This window comes from Homo sapiens, chromosome 12 (genome assembly GCF_000001405.40).
Source record: "Homo sapiens chromosome 12, GRCh38.p14 Primary Assembly".
Classification (NCBI taxonomy): Eukaryota; Metazoa; Chordata; class Mammalia; order Primates; family Hominidae; genus Homo; species Homo sapiens.
The window spans coordinates 131,258,089-131,274,478 of NC_000012.12; the positions used below are offsets into that span (position 1 = coordinate 131,258,089).

The following is a 16,390-nucleotide window of genomic DNA, read 5'->3' on the forward strand; positions in this document are numbered from 1 at the left end:
CACCTGACGGTCAGCCCCAGGAGGTGGCTGGTTACAATGACACAGAGGAGGAGACAGAGTGAAGAGTTCGCTGGGGAGTGGTCTTTGAGAAGAGACCTGAACAAGGAGGGGGGAACACGCAGAAATCCAGGGAAGAACAGTCCAGACAGGAAGCAGCGAGCGCAGAGGCCCCTGCGCTCATTCAGGAATGGAAGAAGCCCCAGTGAGGCTGCAGGTGGTGACCTGGGGAGCTGGTGGGGGGGGGGGCAGCTCATGGGCAGAAGCCCCTGTGAGGCTGCAGGTGGTGACCTGGGGAGCTGGGCGGGGTAGGGGGGCAGCTCATGGGCAGAAGCCCCTGTGAGGCTGCAGGTGGTGACCTGGGGAGCTGGGCGGGGGGGTGGAGCTCGGGCGGGGGGGTGGAGCTCATGGGCAGAGGCCTCCTTGGCCTTGATGGGAATTTTATTCCAAGCACTGAGAGAGAACAGAAGTGTCCCACTGTGGGAGGGACACCATCTGTCTCCATCTGGGGACGGTTTGTGCAGGGGATGATGAGATGGGGAGTCGGAAAGCGGAAGGAGGGAGACGGATTACTTCATCCCAGTGGGAGGAGCAGGGTGACTTGGGAACCCTTTATGCCCTTCTCCATTTACTTATTCATTCATTCATTGCCCATCCCTCCCCTCTAGAACGCATTATCCAGGAAAGCAAGAAAACCTGCTTGTTTTGTTCATTTCTGTGTCCTCAGTACCTACCACGTGCTTGAAAGATGACCAAAACTCAGTGAATGTTTGTTGATTGAGTGAATGAAGAAATGCATGCGCAGGTGAGTGAGTGAGTGAATAAATGATGCATGGGTGAGTAAATAAATGAATGTACGTGTGGGTGAGTGAGTGAGTGAATGGGCACATGAGTGGGTGAGTGAATGGGCACATTGGTGAATGAGTGAATGGGCACATGGGTGGGTGAGTGAGTGAGTGACTGAATGGGTGCATGAGTGAGTGAGTGAATGGGTGCATGGGTGAGTGAGTGAATGGGTGCGCGGGTGCATGGGTGAGTGAGTGAGTGAGTGAATGGGTGCATGAGTGAGTGAGTGAATGGGTGCATGGGTGAGTGAGTGAATGGGTGCATGGGTGCATGGGTGGGTGCATGAGTGGGTGAGTGAGTGAGTGAATGGGTGCATGGGTGGGTGAGTGAGTGAGTGAATGGGTGCATGAGTGAGTGAGTGAATGGGTTCATGGGTGAGTGAGTGAAAGGGTGCACGGGTGCATGGGTGAGTGAGTGAATGGGTGGGTGCATGAGTGGGTGAGTGAGTGAGTGAGTGAGTGAATGGGTGCATGGGTGGGTGAGTGAGTGAATGGGTGCATGAGTGGGTGAGTAAGTGAGTGAATGGGTACATGGATGGGTGAGTGAGTGACTGAATGGGTGCATGGGTGGGTGAATGAGTGAGTGAATGGGTGCATGGGTGGGTGAGTGAGTGAATGGGTGCATGAGTGGGTGAGTGAGTGAGTGAATGGGTACATGGGTGGGTGAGTGAGTGACTGAGTGGGTGCATGGGTGGGTGAGGGAGTGAGTGAATGGGTGCATGGGTGAGTGAGTGAGTGAATGGGTGCATGGGTGAGTGAGTGAGTGAATGGGTGTATGGGTGAGTGAGTGAGTGAATGGGTGCATGAGTGGGTGAGTGAGTGAGTGAATGGGTACATGGGTGGGTGAGTGAGTGACTGAGTGGGTGCATGGGTGGGTGAGGGAGTGAGTGAATGGGTGCATGGGTGAGTGAGTGAGTGAATGGGTGCATGGGTGAGTGAGTGAGTGAATGGGTGTATGGGTGAGTGAGTGAGTGAATGGGTGCATGGGTGAGTGAGTGAGTGAATGGGTGCATGCGTGAGTGAGTGAATGAGTGAGTGAGTGAATGGGTGCACGGGTTAGTCAGTCAGTGAGTGAATGGGTGCACGGGTGTGTGAGTGAGGGAGGGAATGCCTGCATGGGTGAGTGAATGAATGCATGCATGCACAGATGAATGAGTGAGTGAATTCACATGCGGGAGAATGACTGAATCAACGAATAAATGCATGCATGGGAGAGTGAGGGAATGAATGGGCGCACAGGTAAGTGAATGAGTGCTGAGTGGTGGTGACCAGCAGAACAGACCTGCCCGCCAACTCCTGCCTGGGTCTTCCGCCCCCTTCATCCAAGACCTGCCTGTGTCTAGGCAGAAGCCGTGCACCCCTCTGACCAGTGGAGCCCCTGCCCCGCGTCACACTGCTGTGTCTCAGGCACCTTCGTTCTCTGGGAATCTGTGCCCCTACTTTATCTCATTGGTCCTGGCATCTCCACATGGTAAGACAGGCACCCTGTCCAAGAGGAATAGTGGGCTGGCGCCGCCTCCCTGGCAGGAGGAGAATGAGTCTGGTGAAGGCTGGGCAGATGTGCTGGGGCTGGGAGGGGCATGAGGATGGCTTCTCAGGGTCTGGGCCCAGGAACTACGGTTTCTGCACAAAGTCAGCAGCACAGGAGACGGGACAGAGACACGAGCGGACCCAGCATGGTCACCATCTGAGAAGAGTCCACGTGGCAGGCATCGGACCCCACCTCTAAAGACAGCCTCTTGGCCTTCCTCAGACAAGCACCCACGGTCTCAGGCCAGGGATTGGGGGTGAGGTCTACCTCAAGTTTTGCTTCACAGGGGGCATGGGCCCTCGACCCAGCCAGTCCGACACTCACCAGTTCAACACTCATCACTCATCAGAGTGCCAGCCGAGCAGTGCCAGCCAGACCAGGTGGAGCTCAGAGGCTCTGCTCCCCTGGAGATGCTTGAGGGGAGACACTCTCTGCCTACCCACTCTGCAATTTTTAACTCCTATTTACATAAACGCTTTTGAATGCAAATTTTTAATATAATTAATCCAAATATTTTTAAGTATGGAGTAATGTGAGAGATGCTGTATTTATCCCCTTGGGCTTTTAAAATAAATCTTTTCAAGCTCTGCAGCTGCAGCCTGCTGTGTCCTCTGTGTCCTGACTAGCCCAAGTGTCCTGTGACTGTTAAGAGTGTCCAGGAAGCGTCTGCCATGTGGATGCTGTTAAGAGTGTCCAGGAAGCATCTGCCACGTGGATGCTGCATCTGCCATATGGATGCTGGGACTGTGCTTCAGAATGAGCCCGACAGAGAGGAAGACGCACAGCTTTCCAGAACCATAAAAACACCTCATGGTGAGGGCACCAGGGGATCAGAGGGCACACGCGTGCATCTCCCACCCTCACAGTCCTGGGAGATGTGTGAATGATGCATTCTCTGTCAGCCCATGCTCACCTCTGGGGTCCAGAAAATAGACTCGATATTCATGGAATTTCACACTCCATCTTCATGGGTCTGAAGGCATCATCGGAGCTTGAGGTTTCTGAAGAAGATCTTCTGTTATTCTAGGTACAAAGCAGGATTAGGCCTGAGTTGCTGCAACCTACCACTCCTCCAAGAAAGGACTCTGGCTTGCCCTTCCTGAGACCCGAAATGGAGGTGGATATTCCCCCGGCCCCAGGTTCGGTCCTCCTCCGTTTCCTTTCATGATTTCCCCTCTTCTCTTCGGCAATTCAGGCTCAGCCCTGGCCCTAATTCAGGCTCGGCCCTGGCCCTAATTCAGGCTCAGCCCTGGCCCTAATTCAGGCCCTGCCTTAGTCCTAATTCAGGCCCTGCCCTGGCCCTTTGTCTTTTCCAGGCATATTATCCGTGGCTTCAAACATCATCCACCAGCCCTTCTGTTCAGATCTGCAATCTGAAGGCCCCTTCACCCAGGGACCTGGCCGCAGCCTGCTCTGGAATGAGGAAAGGAGCAGTGGCCAGGTCCTTCCCCACCGCCCCCCGCCCATCCACGGGGCCTGTTTTGGCCACTGACACCCAACAATGCACCCAGCAGGCCCACCAGAGACCACGTCTCACGATGCCACTGCAGAGGGCAGAGAGGGCTTCCATGTCTTCCCTCTCTCCAGGTCTGCCCGGTGACCACCTTTGCCAAAATGTAACTGGACACCAGCTGGCAAGAAGTCGAGTGGCAGAGAAGGAGTGGTGAAAGGCTGAACACTACCGGCCGTGTTCGGGGAGACGCTGGGTGGGAAGGTCTCACGTCCATGAGGAACTGGGCCTGTGAGAGGGAACGCCAAGAAACACTGGATGCTGAAATCCATGGGTGCGGGAGATGAGGATCCAGGATGCGGCGTGCAGGTGGATCGGAGACAGGATGGGCACCAGGCAGGGCAGAGGCCACACTGGCAGGCTCGCAGTCTCCAGCAAACCTCACAGTCACACGAGGGAACCCCACGGCCCTCTGCTTGGCGTAAAGTAGGGTCCATGTCTCAGCTGCAGGAGCCCCTGAAATTTGAGCTGCAGAGAGTGGCAGGCAGCGGGCTGTGGAAGATGGTGTGGAATCTACCTGCCCTCTTTGCAACTGGCTGGCTGTAAGTGTGGCTCTGAAGAGGGGCCCTCTAGGACCCCCACATTTCAGGTCTTTGAGAGAAAAAGAGGGTTAAGGTCCAAGCCGTACACATGGAGAGGGAGGAAGGGAGAAGAAGGAAGAGAGAGGGACAGCTGACAGCTGGAGGGAGGGAGGCAGCAACCGACAAATGTGGGTGAAGAACGCATGGCGGGACGGCGTGGCTGAGAAGCAGAGGAGAACCGTGCCCCGCAGTTCTCCACGGGTTCAAACAACCGGATGTTACCTGTGGCCTCCGTGGATCAGGAACTTGTGGCAGAGGCACAGGCTCGAGGAAGACCTCAGAAGACAACAAGAGGTGAAGAAAACCGAGGTGGCGGCGCTCAAGAAAGAGGAGGAAGGAAAAAAGTCAGACATCACAGAAATGGAGGCATCATCACAGAAAGAAGGAGAAAGGGCATGGCTGAAAACAGCAGCAACAAGCAGGATACATTTGCAAAATAAATGGAACAGAAATAATTTCAAGAAGAATTAAAGAGAAAACAATTCATATGAAAGCACAAACAGGGCCAGGCGCGGTGGCTCACGCCTGTGATCTCAGCACTTTGGGAGGCCAAGGCGGGCAGATCACCTGAGGTCAGGAGTTCGAGACCAGCCTGGCCAACATAGCGAAACCCCATCTCTACTAAAAATACAAAAATTAGCCAAGTGTGGTGGCACATGCCTGTAATCCCAGATACTTGGGAGGCTGAGGCAGGAGAATTGCTTGAACCCAGGAGGCAGAGGTTGCAGTGAGTCGAGATCACGCCACTGCACTCCAGCCTGGGTGACAGAACGAGACTCTGTCTCTCAAAAAAAAAAAAAAAAAAGAAAAAAAAAAAAAAGAAAGCACAAAGAGGTAAGGCGTTTGCATAGTTTGTTTCTGCAGAGAAGAGAAAAGTGAAATGGAGAAGATTCCAGAGATACAATTAAGAGAGCTTTCCTGAAATCTAAGAAGGGTTGAAATCAAAAGATGTAAGGTATTCCGGGTAAAATCAATACAGATTTATCAACCCCAGGCTACTTTCTCATTTCACTAAACTTCAAAGAGAAGCAGTCTCAGACAACAATAACAACAACAAAAAAAAAACAAGTCATTTTTCAGGACTAATCAATTTCCTGAATTTACAGGAAAATTCAGACTGGCTCAAACTTTTCCAAGCAAAATAGAACATTAGAAATAAGCAACCATGAGCTCCTCTTGAAAAAAAATCTGAGTGCCTATGAACGCGGGCCACTCGGGAGGGGCAGGGAGGTGCTTTGGGGAGTAGGATGGCTCGTGAGAGGGGATGGTCCCTTGCAAAGCACCCAGGGGCCCAGCTGTGGCGAGGACACCCACAAAGTAAAGGCAGCCTATGTCACCCGGATGTCATAGAAAGGTCCCCACTGCCACCGCTAATGCAAACCTGTGTATACATAGATATCTATGTCCTTGCACACACGCATATTTTAGCAGAAATGGACGTCTATCTGCACATCGTTCCTTTTTTATTTCCTAATCTGGCAACCCTAGGTCTCCCTCCCATTTCTCCCAAGTTGACCCAGACCTGGGTCGTCTCCAGCCCCCATGACTTCTGGAAATCAAACCTTATGATCCCTGCCAGCACCTTACCCTAACACAGTGAGCCCAGGCGGTGTGGGTGGGAGAGTGTGCCACCTCTCCCTGCAGCAGGGAGGGGGTGATGTCAGAACAGGCGTGCCCCTTTCTCAAGGCTCTGCTTCAGCTGCTGCTGGGCACCTTGTGAGCCTCCTCTGGGGACCACGACATTCCAAGTTCATCAATGCATCCAGCTCACCCCTGTGTATCCTCTGTGTGTCGGGGTAGTGGAGAGGGCTGGAGGCCCCTCAAGGAGCTGTGCAGTGAGTAGCCAGGAGTGTGCAGGTGACTTTGAGAGAAGTGATTTTTGCTGGTAGTCACAGGGGCTGCAAACCCTCACGTTGATATCCGGCCCTCTGCCCCCCAGTGCTTTAGGAAGGTGGCGCTGCCCTCTACCCTTCAGGCTCTGAGCTGGGGGTGGTGTGGGGCAGAACAAGCGCAGACTCAGTGGTCCCTGGAGAGCTGGGACAAGGACAGGAGGGCACTGATGGGGAAGCATCACTGCCGGGCAGCTGGGAATCCCTGGAAGAGCCATTCCTCATCCCCACTGCCTGGCCCCCTTGATGTCCCCTAAGCATCTCACTCCACATCACTGCCTCAGATGTAGCTTCTGAGTCTACATTGAAGCTGGGATGCTGTGGGCTGAGCACAGGCACCCAGTAGAGCAGGGTGAGTGGACGGGAGGAACCACCAGGCCATGCAGCTCCTTCCCCCACCTGCATGCTGGCCGTGCGCCCAGCATGGGCTCGCCCAGCGGGAGGACACGGCAACAACCACAACAGCCAAGAGGCGGGAGAGGCCAGCGGGCACTGACGGTGAGTGGATATTGGAAATGTGGAATGTCAACACAACAGAGCATTATTCAGCCTAAAAGCAAGGAAGCCCTGCCATTTAAGACAGCGTGGATGAACGTGGAGGATGCTGTGCTGGGTGAAATGAGCCAGCCACGGAAGGACAATGTCACACAATGCCCTTATATGAGGCATGTGAAATAGGCTCGTGGAAGCAGAGAGGAGCATGGGGGTGCCAGGGGCTGGGGGAGTGGGAGGGAGAGCTGTGAGTTCAAGGGCATCATGTTTCGCTCATACAATATGTATTGGTCCCTTCTTGCGTTGCTTAAAAGAAACACCTGAGACTGGGTAACTTCAAAGAAAAGGGGTTGAATTGGCTCCTGGTTCTGCAGGCTGTACAGGAAGCACGGCAGCTTCTGCTTCTGGGGAGGCCTCAAGGAGCTTTTACTCATGGCAGAAGGTGAAGCCGCTGCAGGCACATCACACAGGGAGAACCGGAGCCAGCGGGGGCGGTGGGGAGTGCCACACGCTTTTAAAAGACCCGATCTTTCAATAACTCACTCACCATCACAAAGACAGCATCAAGCCATAAGACGTCCACCCCGCTGACCCAAACACCACCACCCCAGGCCCCACTTCCAACACTGGGGTTACAGCTCAACATGAGGTTTGGGCAGAGACATGGATCCAAACCATCTCACAAGACGAATACGCCCCGAGGTCTGCTGCAGGCGTGGAGCCTCGTCTCCAAGTCATGTTGTGTGCTAAGAGGGTAGATCTTATGTAAAATGTTCTTATCACTCTCAGAAAAAAAACAATAAACACACAGGGTGGGAGGAACTTTTTAGAGGGTTTTTATGGCATCGGCCGTGGCGGTGGTTTTGTGTGTTTATGGCATCGGCGGTGGCGGTGATTTTGTGTGTTTATGGCATCGGTGGTGGCGGTGGTTTTGTGTGTTTATGGCATCGGCCGTGGCGGTGGTTTCGTGTGTTTATGGCATCAGTGGTGGCAGTGGTTTCGTGAGCGTACACTCATCTCCAGACCCATCCAGTTCCACACATTAAATATGGACAGCTTTTTGTATGTTAATCATTCCTCAATTAAAAGGTTTTAAAAAATGTTAAGATGGTGAATTGTATGTTATGTGTATTTTACCACTATTAAAAGTAATTTTAAAAGAAAAAAGTTGGTATTATCATTATGTCTATGGTAGTATCTTCTCTTTTACATATATACGTGTGTGCAGGAGTTATAATTTTTATTTCCTCTATAATTATATCTGTTTTCAGGCATTCTACAGTGAATCATTGCAATAAGAAAAAACAATGTGGGCAACATCTTTTGAAGATGCCTGGGAACCGCCTCTGTGTCTTTTAAAAGTCTTCTGTTGAAATGTTTGTGAAAGTTACACTGATCAGTGTGGGCCACAGCTGCAAGACCTCTTCCTCCATAAAGCGGGTGGAGGAGAAGAGCAAAGCGACCTTGAGGGTCCTATGGTCACCTCAAGTGCACAGACTCAGACACCCGTGAAAACTGGAGCTGGCAGCCAGCAGGAGGGAAAGGAGATGGGCTGGGACCTGGAGCTCAGAGAGCAGCCACTATGACCCCTGAGACCCGAGCTTCCCATCCCAGGCCTGTGTTCAAGAAAACCCTCATCTTCCAGCCGCCAGCACATCCTCCCACCTTCTTGAAAACACAGTCAAGCTGTGATGTTGCCTCTGTCCCCTTTGAGGCCCCCTGGGGGAGGGAGGGGTCACATGGGAGCACAAGACCCCAGTGAAGGGTCCCAGCTCCCACCGCTCCTGACCAGGCTGTCCCTGCCGATGGAGGGATGGGGTCGCTCAGCTGCCTGCAGGCCTCGTGGACAGCAGGCCCAAGGAAGGATGGCAGTCTCACCAGCTGACCAGACCCTGCAAGGGTCCTGCCGCCCCAGGCTGCCCTGAGAGGTGGACACAGGGACCTTTATGAGGGGGCATGAAGGGTGGTCATGGCTCTCTCTGGGAGCAGCCATGCCTTCTGAGCAGGGTGATGGGGGTGGAGCCCGCAGTGCTGTTGAAACATAGTTCTCAAGGCCAATTACACTCTCGCACACTGGCATGCGCTCAGTTACTTCCAGTGCAATTTATGACAGTTCTGAGACCATAGGGCCTGCTCTTTCTATTTATCCCTTGTCCACACGTGCTAGTGGGGAGGTCCCCGGCACCCCCATACAAGTGTCCTTCTGCTCAGAAGCTCCTCATGGTCAGCTTCCTGCCTTTTTCTGAAAACGTCTTTTCACCTCTCTCCTCTCCCGCCCCGTGGCTTTCTCCAGCTTCGGGGCCTCTGCACACACCCTTCCTGTGACTGGAGACAGCCTCTCTCCCTCCGTTCTTTGCTTGACTTGTTTCTACTCGCCCTGTAGGTCTCAGCTCACACTTCCAGGTCTGGGATGGGCATCCACCACTTCTCCATCGCATCCTTCATTTGATATGATCTCGAGCGACCTGTCTTCTTTTCTTCCCAGAACTTATCACAAGTTGTAATGACTTATTTGTTTCTATGATTATTTGTTAAATGTAGGATTTCCTGCCTAGACTATAAAATCCATGCAGATGGGAACAAAGAGTCATTTTTACGCTGGTACCCAGCATGATGCTGCTAGACATTTGCTGAATGCATAGATGATTTTTCCAGGGCCTGTAATTTACAGGGAGAGCAATGGAGGCCCAGAGACAAGATGATTCAGCTCCTCCACTCTGTTCAGGATCATATCCTAAGGACCAACATGTCTGTCTACCTTTACACTGAGCCCCCACCCAGCCAACCACCTCCCATGAGAGACAGGCTCTCCCTGCCTGAGCTTGGACCCAGGCCCCTTCTCTGCTGAGCTCAGAACACATGCTTGACTGTGATGTAACAGGGTGGCAGCCCCCACAGCATTGCATCTGCCCCATACTCAGTGTGGGGAGATAGGACGCGTGGACCCCACATTTGCAGGACAGGCCGCAGATGACCAGCTATCAGTCAGCTCCCATCCCTTGTGATAGAATTTTGGGCTCAGTCTTTTCCTGGAGTGCTGGGTGGTCACAATGGGTGTCTTTCAGCCTCCCTGGAAACTAATGTCAATAGCCCCATTTAGCCCTGATGCACCCCTGACCCCTGTGAATGATCCTGAACTCCAGGACACCCCCACGGAGTAAGCCCAGAATAGCAAGCATGGTTAACGAGTCTGTGAATGAGAGTTTACCTTTGCAGAAAAGAAGTGGCAAATGAACAGCAGAGATAAACAGGTCCATTAGGAAGATACTAAAAGAAGAAAAAAAAGTCAACCTTACCTTCCCTGCTAAATTTCCCAGAACACCCCTGGGCGTGCGTCCCTGAGGGCGCCCAAATGAGGAGCAGAGGGCTCCTGCCAGATCCTCCACTGGCGTCAGCAGTGATGACTCAGCTGGGCAGGACTGGAGAGGCTCCCGCTCCAGCGACAGCATGGAATCCAGCAAGTGAAAGGGCAAATGTTCCTGGGTTTTGCGAAGCATTTGCTGCTTCCAGCTTCTCTTCTTAAACTACATTTGTCAGTGTCCTTTTTGTGGCAAGTGACAAACCCAACTGAAGCTGGCTTAGGTGAAAAAACAAATAAAACTCATGCGCCCTTTCGTGTAACGGGAGCCTCTGTCCAGACCTCAAGGGCAGTCGTTTCCATCCTCTCTCAGGCTCTCTCCAGCTTTAACTTGCTTTCATCTGTTGCCTTTACTCACAGAGTTTTCTCTGTACCATGCTCTCAGCCATCCCAGGCTGACACCCCACCAGCCTCCCAACTGCAGTGGAGAGAGAGCTCCCTGCTTCTGCCAGTTCCCACAAAGTTCTGGAATTCAGCCTCCTGGCCTGGCAGGGGCCGTGAGACCATCTCTAACCCATCACTGAGTCCAGGGCCAAGGCTGCTGCTGGCCAGGCCTGGGCTACAGGAGCTGGGGTGGAGGATGGATCAGCCTCCTTCAAATCACAGGTGACGGAGGCAAGGTGGGGGAAGGGAAAGGTAAGAACTGTCTCAAAGGGATGGAGAACAGACGTTTGGCAGGATCAAACCAAGTGTCCACAAACGAAGTTAATTCCTGTGCACTGCGGGGTGAGATCCTCAAGTTAGGAGGAAAGAGGACACGGGTCATTCCAGCCGGAATTAACTTCGGGCCTTTCTCCTGCAAGGAGGCCAGTCTTCTCTCCTTTGTCCCCATATTGGAATCCCCCGGAGCATGTCCACTGGAACAGGGGAGCTGATACATTCAGACCAGAGTGAGAGGAACTGAGTCTGGACTCATGGCTGTTTGGTCAGGGTGGGCGACAGACCCTGACAGCAGACCCCACTCCTGCAGGGACTTCAACCAGTATGAGTCGAAAGTTCATTCGGGACATTCCAAAGTGGGGCACAGGATCACCCCTCCCCCCACGGTCAATCAGGGCCCGGGCTCCTGCGTTGACTCCCTCCACTGTCCTCTGAGCCCCTGGGGTCCTCTCTGTCTAACTGGCTCATAAGGAAGAGAAAATGCGAGAATTGCAGGGCCTTCTCCATAGGCCTGCCTGGAAGTGCTGCCCTCTGGGCAGAGCTTGGTCACCTGACCCCACCTGACACAGGGAGGCTGGGAATGGGCTCTAAGTGTACCCAGGAGGGAGGTGGCATGGGCCCTGTGGCACTGCAGGCTCTGTCCCCATGAGGACCTCTCTCTGCAGGTACCCACTGTTTACCTGGGGACACAGCACTGGGCAAAGGACAAAGCTGTCCTGGAATAATTCCAAGCATTCCCCAATGAGGCCAGTGAGTGGGGAAGAGGACGGAGGAGGCGGGGTGTGGGCTGGTGCATGCTGGGGTGTCCCCTTCTGAAGCAGGGCAGGAGAGCCCCAAAAGTGGGGCTCAGCCCAGGGCAGTGAGCTGAGGGGAGCGGTGGGGCGGCTCTGCAATCATATATATCTATACATACCCCCTCTTAATTACATGCAAATTAAGGAATGGATTACACAGAAATTTCAGGAAAAAGGTGGTAACTTCCAGGTCTTGGGGTTGCTGCCATGGAAAGGTGAGGTAAGTTCACAGTGTTGTCGTGGCAATGGTAAACTGTCATGGCACTAGTGGCCGTGTCTTATGGAGAGGCGCTGTGGCCTTTTCTCTGTTTCACCCAGTCTTCAATCTCCTCCAGAGTGGAGCCCTCACCTCCTACCTCACTTCCACGCACACAGCCCCATACATGATCTCAGCATCAGAGCACCCATCCCCTGGGACTCAGCCAGGCTGTCATGGGGGATGATGGCAGTCAGAGCTCAGAGAACTCACCCTGAGGATCTGAGATTAGGTTGGCTCAGTGCCAGGGACATCTCATTAAGACAGTCACACACCTCCTCATGAGAGCACAGCCTCCTGGGATGGCACAGTTCATGTGCAAAGCTCAGCAGCATCATCAGATGAAGGCAGGGCCCTGAGGAGTCTGGGCACCCCACCAGCTGCATTTCTGATCATTGGTTTTCCTGCAGGCAGTCCCGGAGCGGGAGCCAGGGCAATGAGATGTTTAATTGCAGCCTTGCCCCTGACAACAAAGCTGCCCACCCCCTGCCTGGTGGTCCTGCCTGCAGAGATGTGGCCCACTCAGGCCTCCAAGATGTCTAGGATAACTTCATAAGGGCTCAGCTGCCTCTACTTATAAATTCACCCCAAAGTCTCCTGATGACCTGGGAAGTGACCAGAGCTCCCATGGTGCTGTTGACTTGTATAGAGACAGAACTTCTCACAGAAGCACAACCTGGATCTAATTCCCAACGCTGGGCCCCACCCTGGCTGCTGCAATCCACTCAAATGAACACACGTCCCTTGATTTGCACAGTGGTGTCCTAGGCCAGGTCAAGACATTCTAGCTCCTGGAAATGCGGTGTGTTAGGAGGGCCTTTCCCAAACATGATTACCTCAGAGAGGGTTCTTGCCGTCTTGCTCGTGATGTGTTTATAATTGCTGGGAGCAGATTCCTCCCATTGTCCCCAGGACACAGCAGAGGCCCCAACCTGCCCCATAGCCCAGAATCAGCACCACACACTCAGGCATCATGGAGTGACTGAGGTGATTCCCTGCAGGGGCTCCGGGGGCTTCCACCCACTCACAATAAACCCACACCATGTCCCATGGACTGTGAGGCCCCCATGGCCCAGGCTCCATCTCCCCCTCTGTTTATTTTGCTTCAGCCTCTCTGGCCATCTTGCTGTTCCTTGAATGCTCCAAGCTCACTCCACCCCAGGGCCTTTGCATTGCTGTGACACCTGTCTGAACACTGCTCACAACCCTCATGCTTCCCCTCCCCAGTGAGTGTCTACTCAGAGAGGCCTTCCTTGACCTCTCATTGAATGCAGCCTCCTCACACCAAGTCACACTCACATCACCATCTTGATGGTCTTCATGATACTTGTCACTGTCTAAAAGTATTTGCCTATTAGTTTATGGTGTTGTTTCTGAGTCCACTGCTTATGGGACGAGGCGCTTGCTCTGAATCCCAGCACTAGCACATCCTGTGTGCTTTTAGGAAGGTGACCTAACTTCTCTGTGCCTCAGTTTCTCATTTATCAAATGGAGATCATGAGCACTTACCTCAGGTGATGTCGTGTCAGTTGAGTGACCTGACATATGGGAGGTGCCCAGAATAGCATCTGTTGCATATTAAGGGCTGTGTAATGTTTACTCAGATTGCTACTACTGTGCCTGCTTCCTCTGCTGACACTGTCATGATCACCATTATCACCATCATCACCATCACCACCATCACCACCATTATCATCGTCACCATCACCATCACCTTAATTATCACCATCACTGCCATCACCATTACCATCACCACCATATCACCACATCACCATCATCATCATCACATCACCATCATCATCATCATATCACCATCATCATCATCATATCACCATCATCATCATCACCATCAGCAGCACTGCCATCATCCCATCACCATTACCATTATCTCATCACCATCACCAACACCATCACCATCATCACCATCATCCCATCACCATCACTCTCATTACCATCATTATCACCATCATCATCCCATCATCATCACCATCATTACCATCATGACAATCATCACCATCCCCATCACAACCATCACCATCACCATCATGACCATCATCATCACCAACACCATCATCACCATCATTCCATTAGGGAGCACAAGCTCAGTGTGACCTGTGAGCTGTTAGTTGACTCTTCTCAGCATCTGGATCTGTGTCTGGCACATAGGATACAGGTAGGGTATTTATTGAATGAACATGGGAGTTATAAAATGAGTACCTGGGCAAATATCCAGGTTGCGGTGGAATTCTGCTGCAGTGCCAGCATTACAGGGAATAGACAACTAATTGCTGGAGCCTGACATTACAGGATCAAAAATAAAAACCACCCTTCTGCCCACTCTGGATGCTCTCCTCGCCTGGCCTTCACTCCCGGCACCCTCTGAGTCACGCGGGGCTCCCTGCAGCCTCATTGATTAAATGCCCAGACACACCTCCTGATGGATTTTGTATCAATACATCCTGCCCTGGAAGCAGGCTTGGGCAGGAAAGCTCACTAAATAAAGACATCCAGTGACAGGTTTGTGAGCCTGGGCGCAGGGAGGCAGGGGAGGGAGCTTCCATCTCATCAACCGAGGCCAGAGGAGGCCGAGCAGGAGATGTGGGGCCTGAAGCCTGCACTGGCTCTGAGTTAGAGAAGCCTGGCTCCCGAGAGCTGATTCTGGTGAGGAGCCCTGAGGTGGTTCAGAACTTCAAAGGAGGCTGGGAATGTCAGTCAAGTTCTGAGTTTCCATCCCATCTGCCTGGAGAGGGCCAGGAAGAAGAGGTGGGGAGGATGTAGGGGTGGCTGTCCACAGTGCCTGGCAACCAGGACATCAGACAACATTGTTCATACAATTTAGCCCTCTGGGTTACAGTAGGAATTTGGTTATCTAATATTAATAATACTTTACTAAACCAGATCAAGAAAATATATGTCTATGTATCATTCATGCTTCCAATAGAAAATTATCATGGAAAATCGTACTTATACCTCCCTTTGATACGTGTTTGTTAAATTGTTAATATCCTTGCACATCTTACACCCCAGCAAATGATACAGATCTTTCCTCAGGATTCTCTTCTTTGGATTTTGAAAGTTCAGTGGGGTCCTCAGGTTTTCACATATGCCCAGGGGGGCCGGTCTCCGCCGGCACTCAGCTCCCAATCACTTCATTCATTTCTTCAACGCACACAGCCGGCCTCTATTCTGCTCGGGGAACACCATGAGTTGGGAGGGAGCTTTGCTCTTGATTTCCCAAAGGAAGCTGGGGAGAGAGGGAGAAAGAGAGAAGGAGACAGAGAGAGAGGGGAAAGTGGGTTTTCCTTGGGGGAACACAGGTGCTGTCGAAAAATGCAGCCGAGTATTCGGGTTCACAGTGCTTACCAGGGACCATAGGATTCGTGCCAGGCAGGCTCCCCATCTGCAAATCAGATGAACTTGGCCAAGATGGACAGGGAACTGCAGGTTGGAGAGGAGGCCAGAGAGAAGGGCCTTATCCCATGACTCTGTGCTGGGTACAAAGGTGGGGAGACCTGACGGGCCCTGGCTCTTCCCAGGTGGAGATTCATATCAAACCCACACCCACCCTCCATATCACACCACACCCACACCTCTTATCACACCACACCCATCCTCCATATCACACCACATCCACCCTCCATATCACTCCACACCCACCCTCCATATCACACCCACACCCACCCCCACATCACACCATGCCCACCCCCTATGCCCTGGCCCCCGGGATGGAGGGTGGGCTGGGCAGGGCGACTCTGACTGATGGACGCTTCTGGATGTTCTCCACGTGCTGCCTCTTAGTCCTGGTCTCTGACCTTGGAAACAGAACACGGGCTGCGGCCCACAGATGCCACTAATATTTTCTGTTGCGTTTGTCAAGGGAAGCCACAGTTGGAGATTGGGACTGGAGAAAGGGAAGCTTTTCCACCCCTGCAGGGAGGGAGACTCATCCCAGGTCGCACGGACTCCCAGACGCAGAAAGCCCCCCTCTGCACACCTGGGCATGTGGCCTGGGGTCACCCTTGCCCCGGGTTCCCAACGCCTCCTCTCTGCCCAACGCCACTCCCATTCCCCCCTAGAAATGGACTCAGAGCTGCCTGAATCTGCAGAGCTCCCAGAGATGAAGCCGCTCCTGACAGCCACTCACAGTAACAAGGGCAGAGCCCAGGGAAAAATGCACCATCACGGGGAAGACTCTGCAGGGACAGGGCAGACCCGAGTCCCGTTGGGTCCCAACCCTGGCCGCCTGCCCTGCATCAGAGGTTCCCAAAGCGGCGGACACGGGCACCCCTGGGAAAGGCAGCCTCCACCTCAGCGTTCGGCTCTGGACAGGGATGAACAAACATGTGCACCTGAAGCCCTCCCCTCCCCCTGCCAAGCTGTTTCGAAGGCAGGTGGTCTGCAAGCCACCCCTGGGGAACATGTCCCCGGCCACACCAGGGCCACACCTCAATACCTCCTCCCTGGGACTGAGCTGGGA

At 53.1% G+C, this 16,390-nt stretch overlaps 2 long non-coding RNA genes across 3 annotated transcripts in view, besides 1 other annotated feature; both read right to left on the reverse strand.

Annotated features, from left to right (window-relative positions):
* LOC105370082 (uncharacterized) overlaps positions 1-4,673 on the reverse strand; it is a 37,563-nt gene extending 32,890 nt beyond the window's left edge. The window contains exons 1-2 of one of the 2 annotated variants that reach the window (XR_945559.3): positions 4,056-4,673; positions 3,287-3,396 (exon numbers count right to left, since the gene is read on the reverse strand). This is a non-coding gene — a long non-coding RNA (uncharacterized LOC105370082). Of the gene's footprint in view, positions 1-3,286; positions 3,397-3,893 lie in introns of both variants that reach the window. The other variant, XR_945558.3, reaches the window with a different exon arrangement.
* Positions 3,695-4,195: an enhancer, noted in NCBI's record as "H3K4me1 hESC enhancer chr12:131746328-131746828 (GRCh37/hg19 assembly coordinates)". NCBI's record gives its function as "activates a minimal SCP1, AML or CMV promoter by ChIP-STARR-seq in naive H9 embryonic stem cells {active_cell/tissue: H9 hESC(naive)}" and the evidence as "EXISTENCE:reporter gene assay evidence [ECO:0000049][PMID:30033119]".
* Positions 4,674-14,081: 9,408 nt separating the features above from the next.
* On the reverse strand, positions 14,082-15,396 carry LOC107987177 (uncharacterized). Its single transcript, XR_001749181.1, has 2 exons — positions 15,277-15,396; positions 14,082-15,157 (listed from the first exon to the last, which is right to left on the reverse strand). It is a non-coding gene; the product is annotated as an uncharacterized LOC107987177 (long non-coding RNA).
* Between the last annotated feature and the right edge of the window lie 994 nt (positions 15,397-16,390).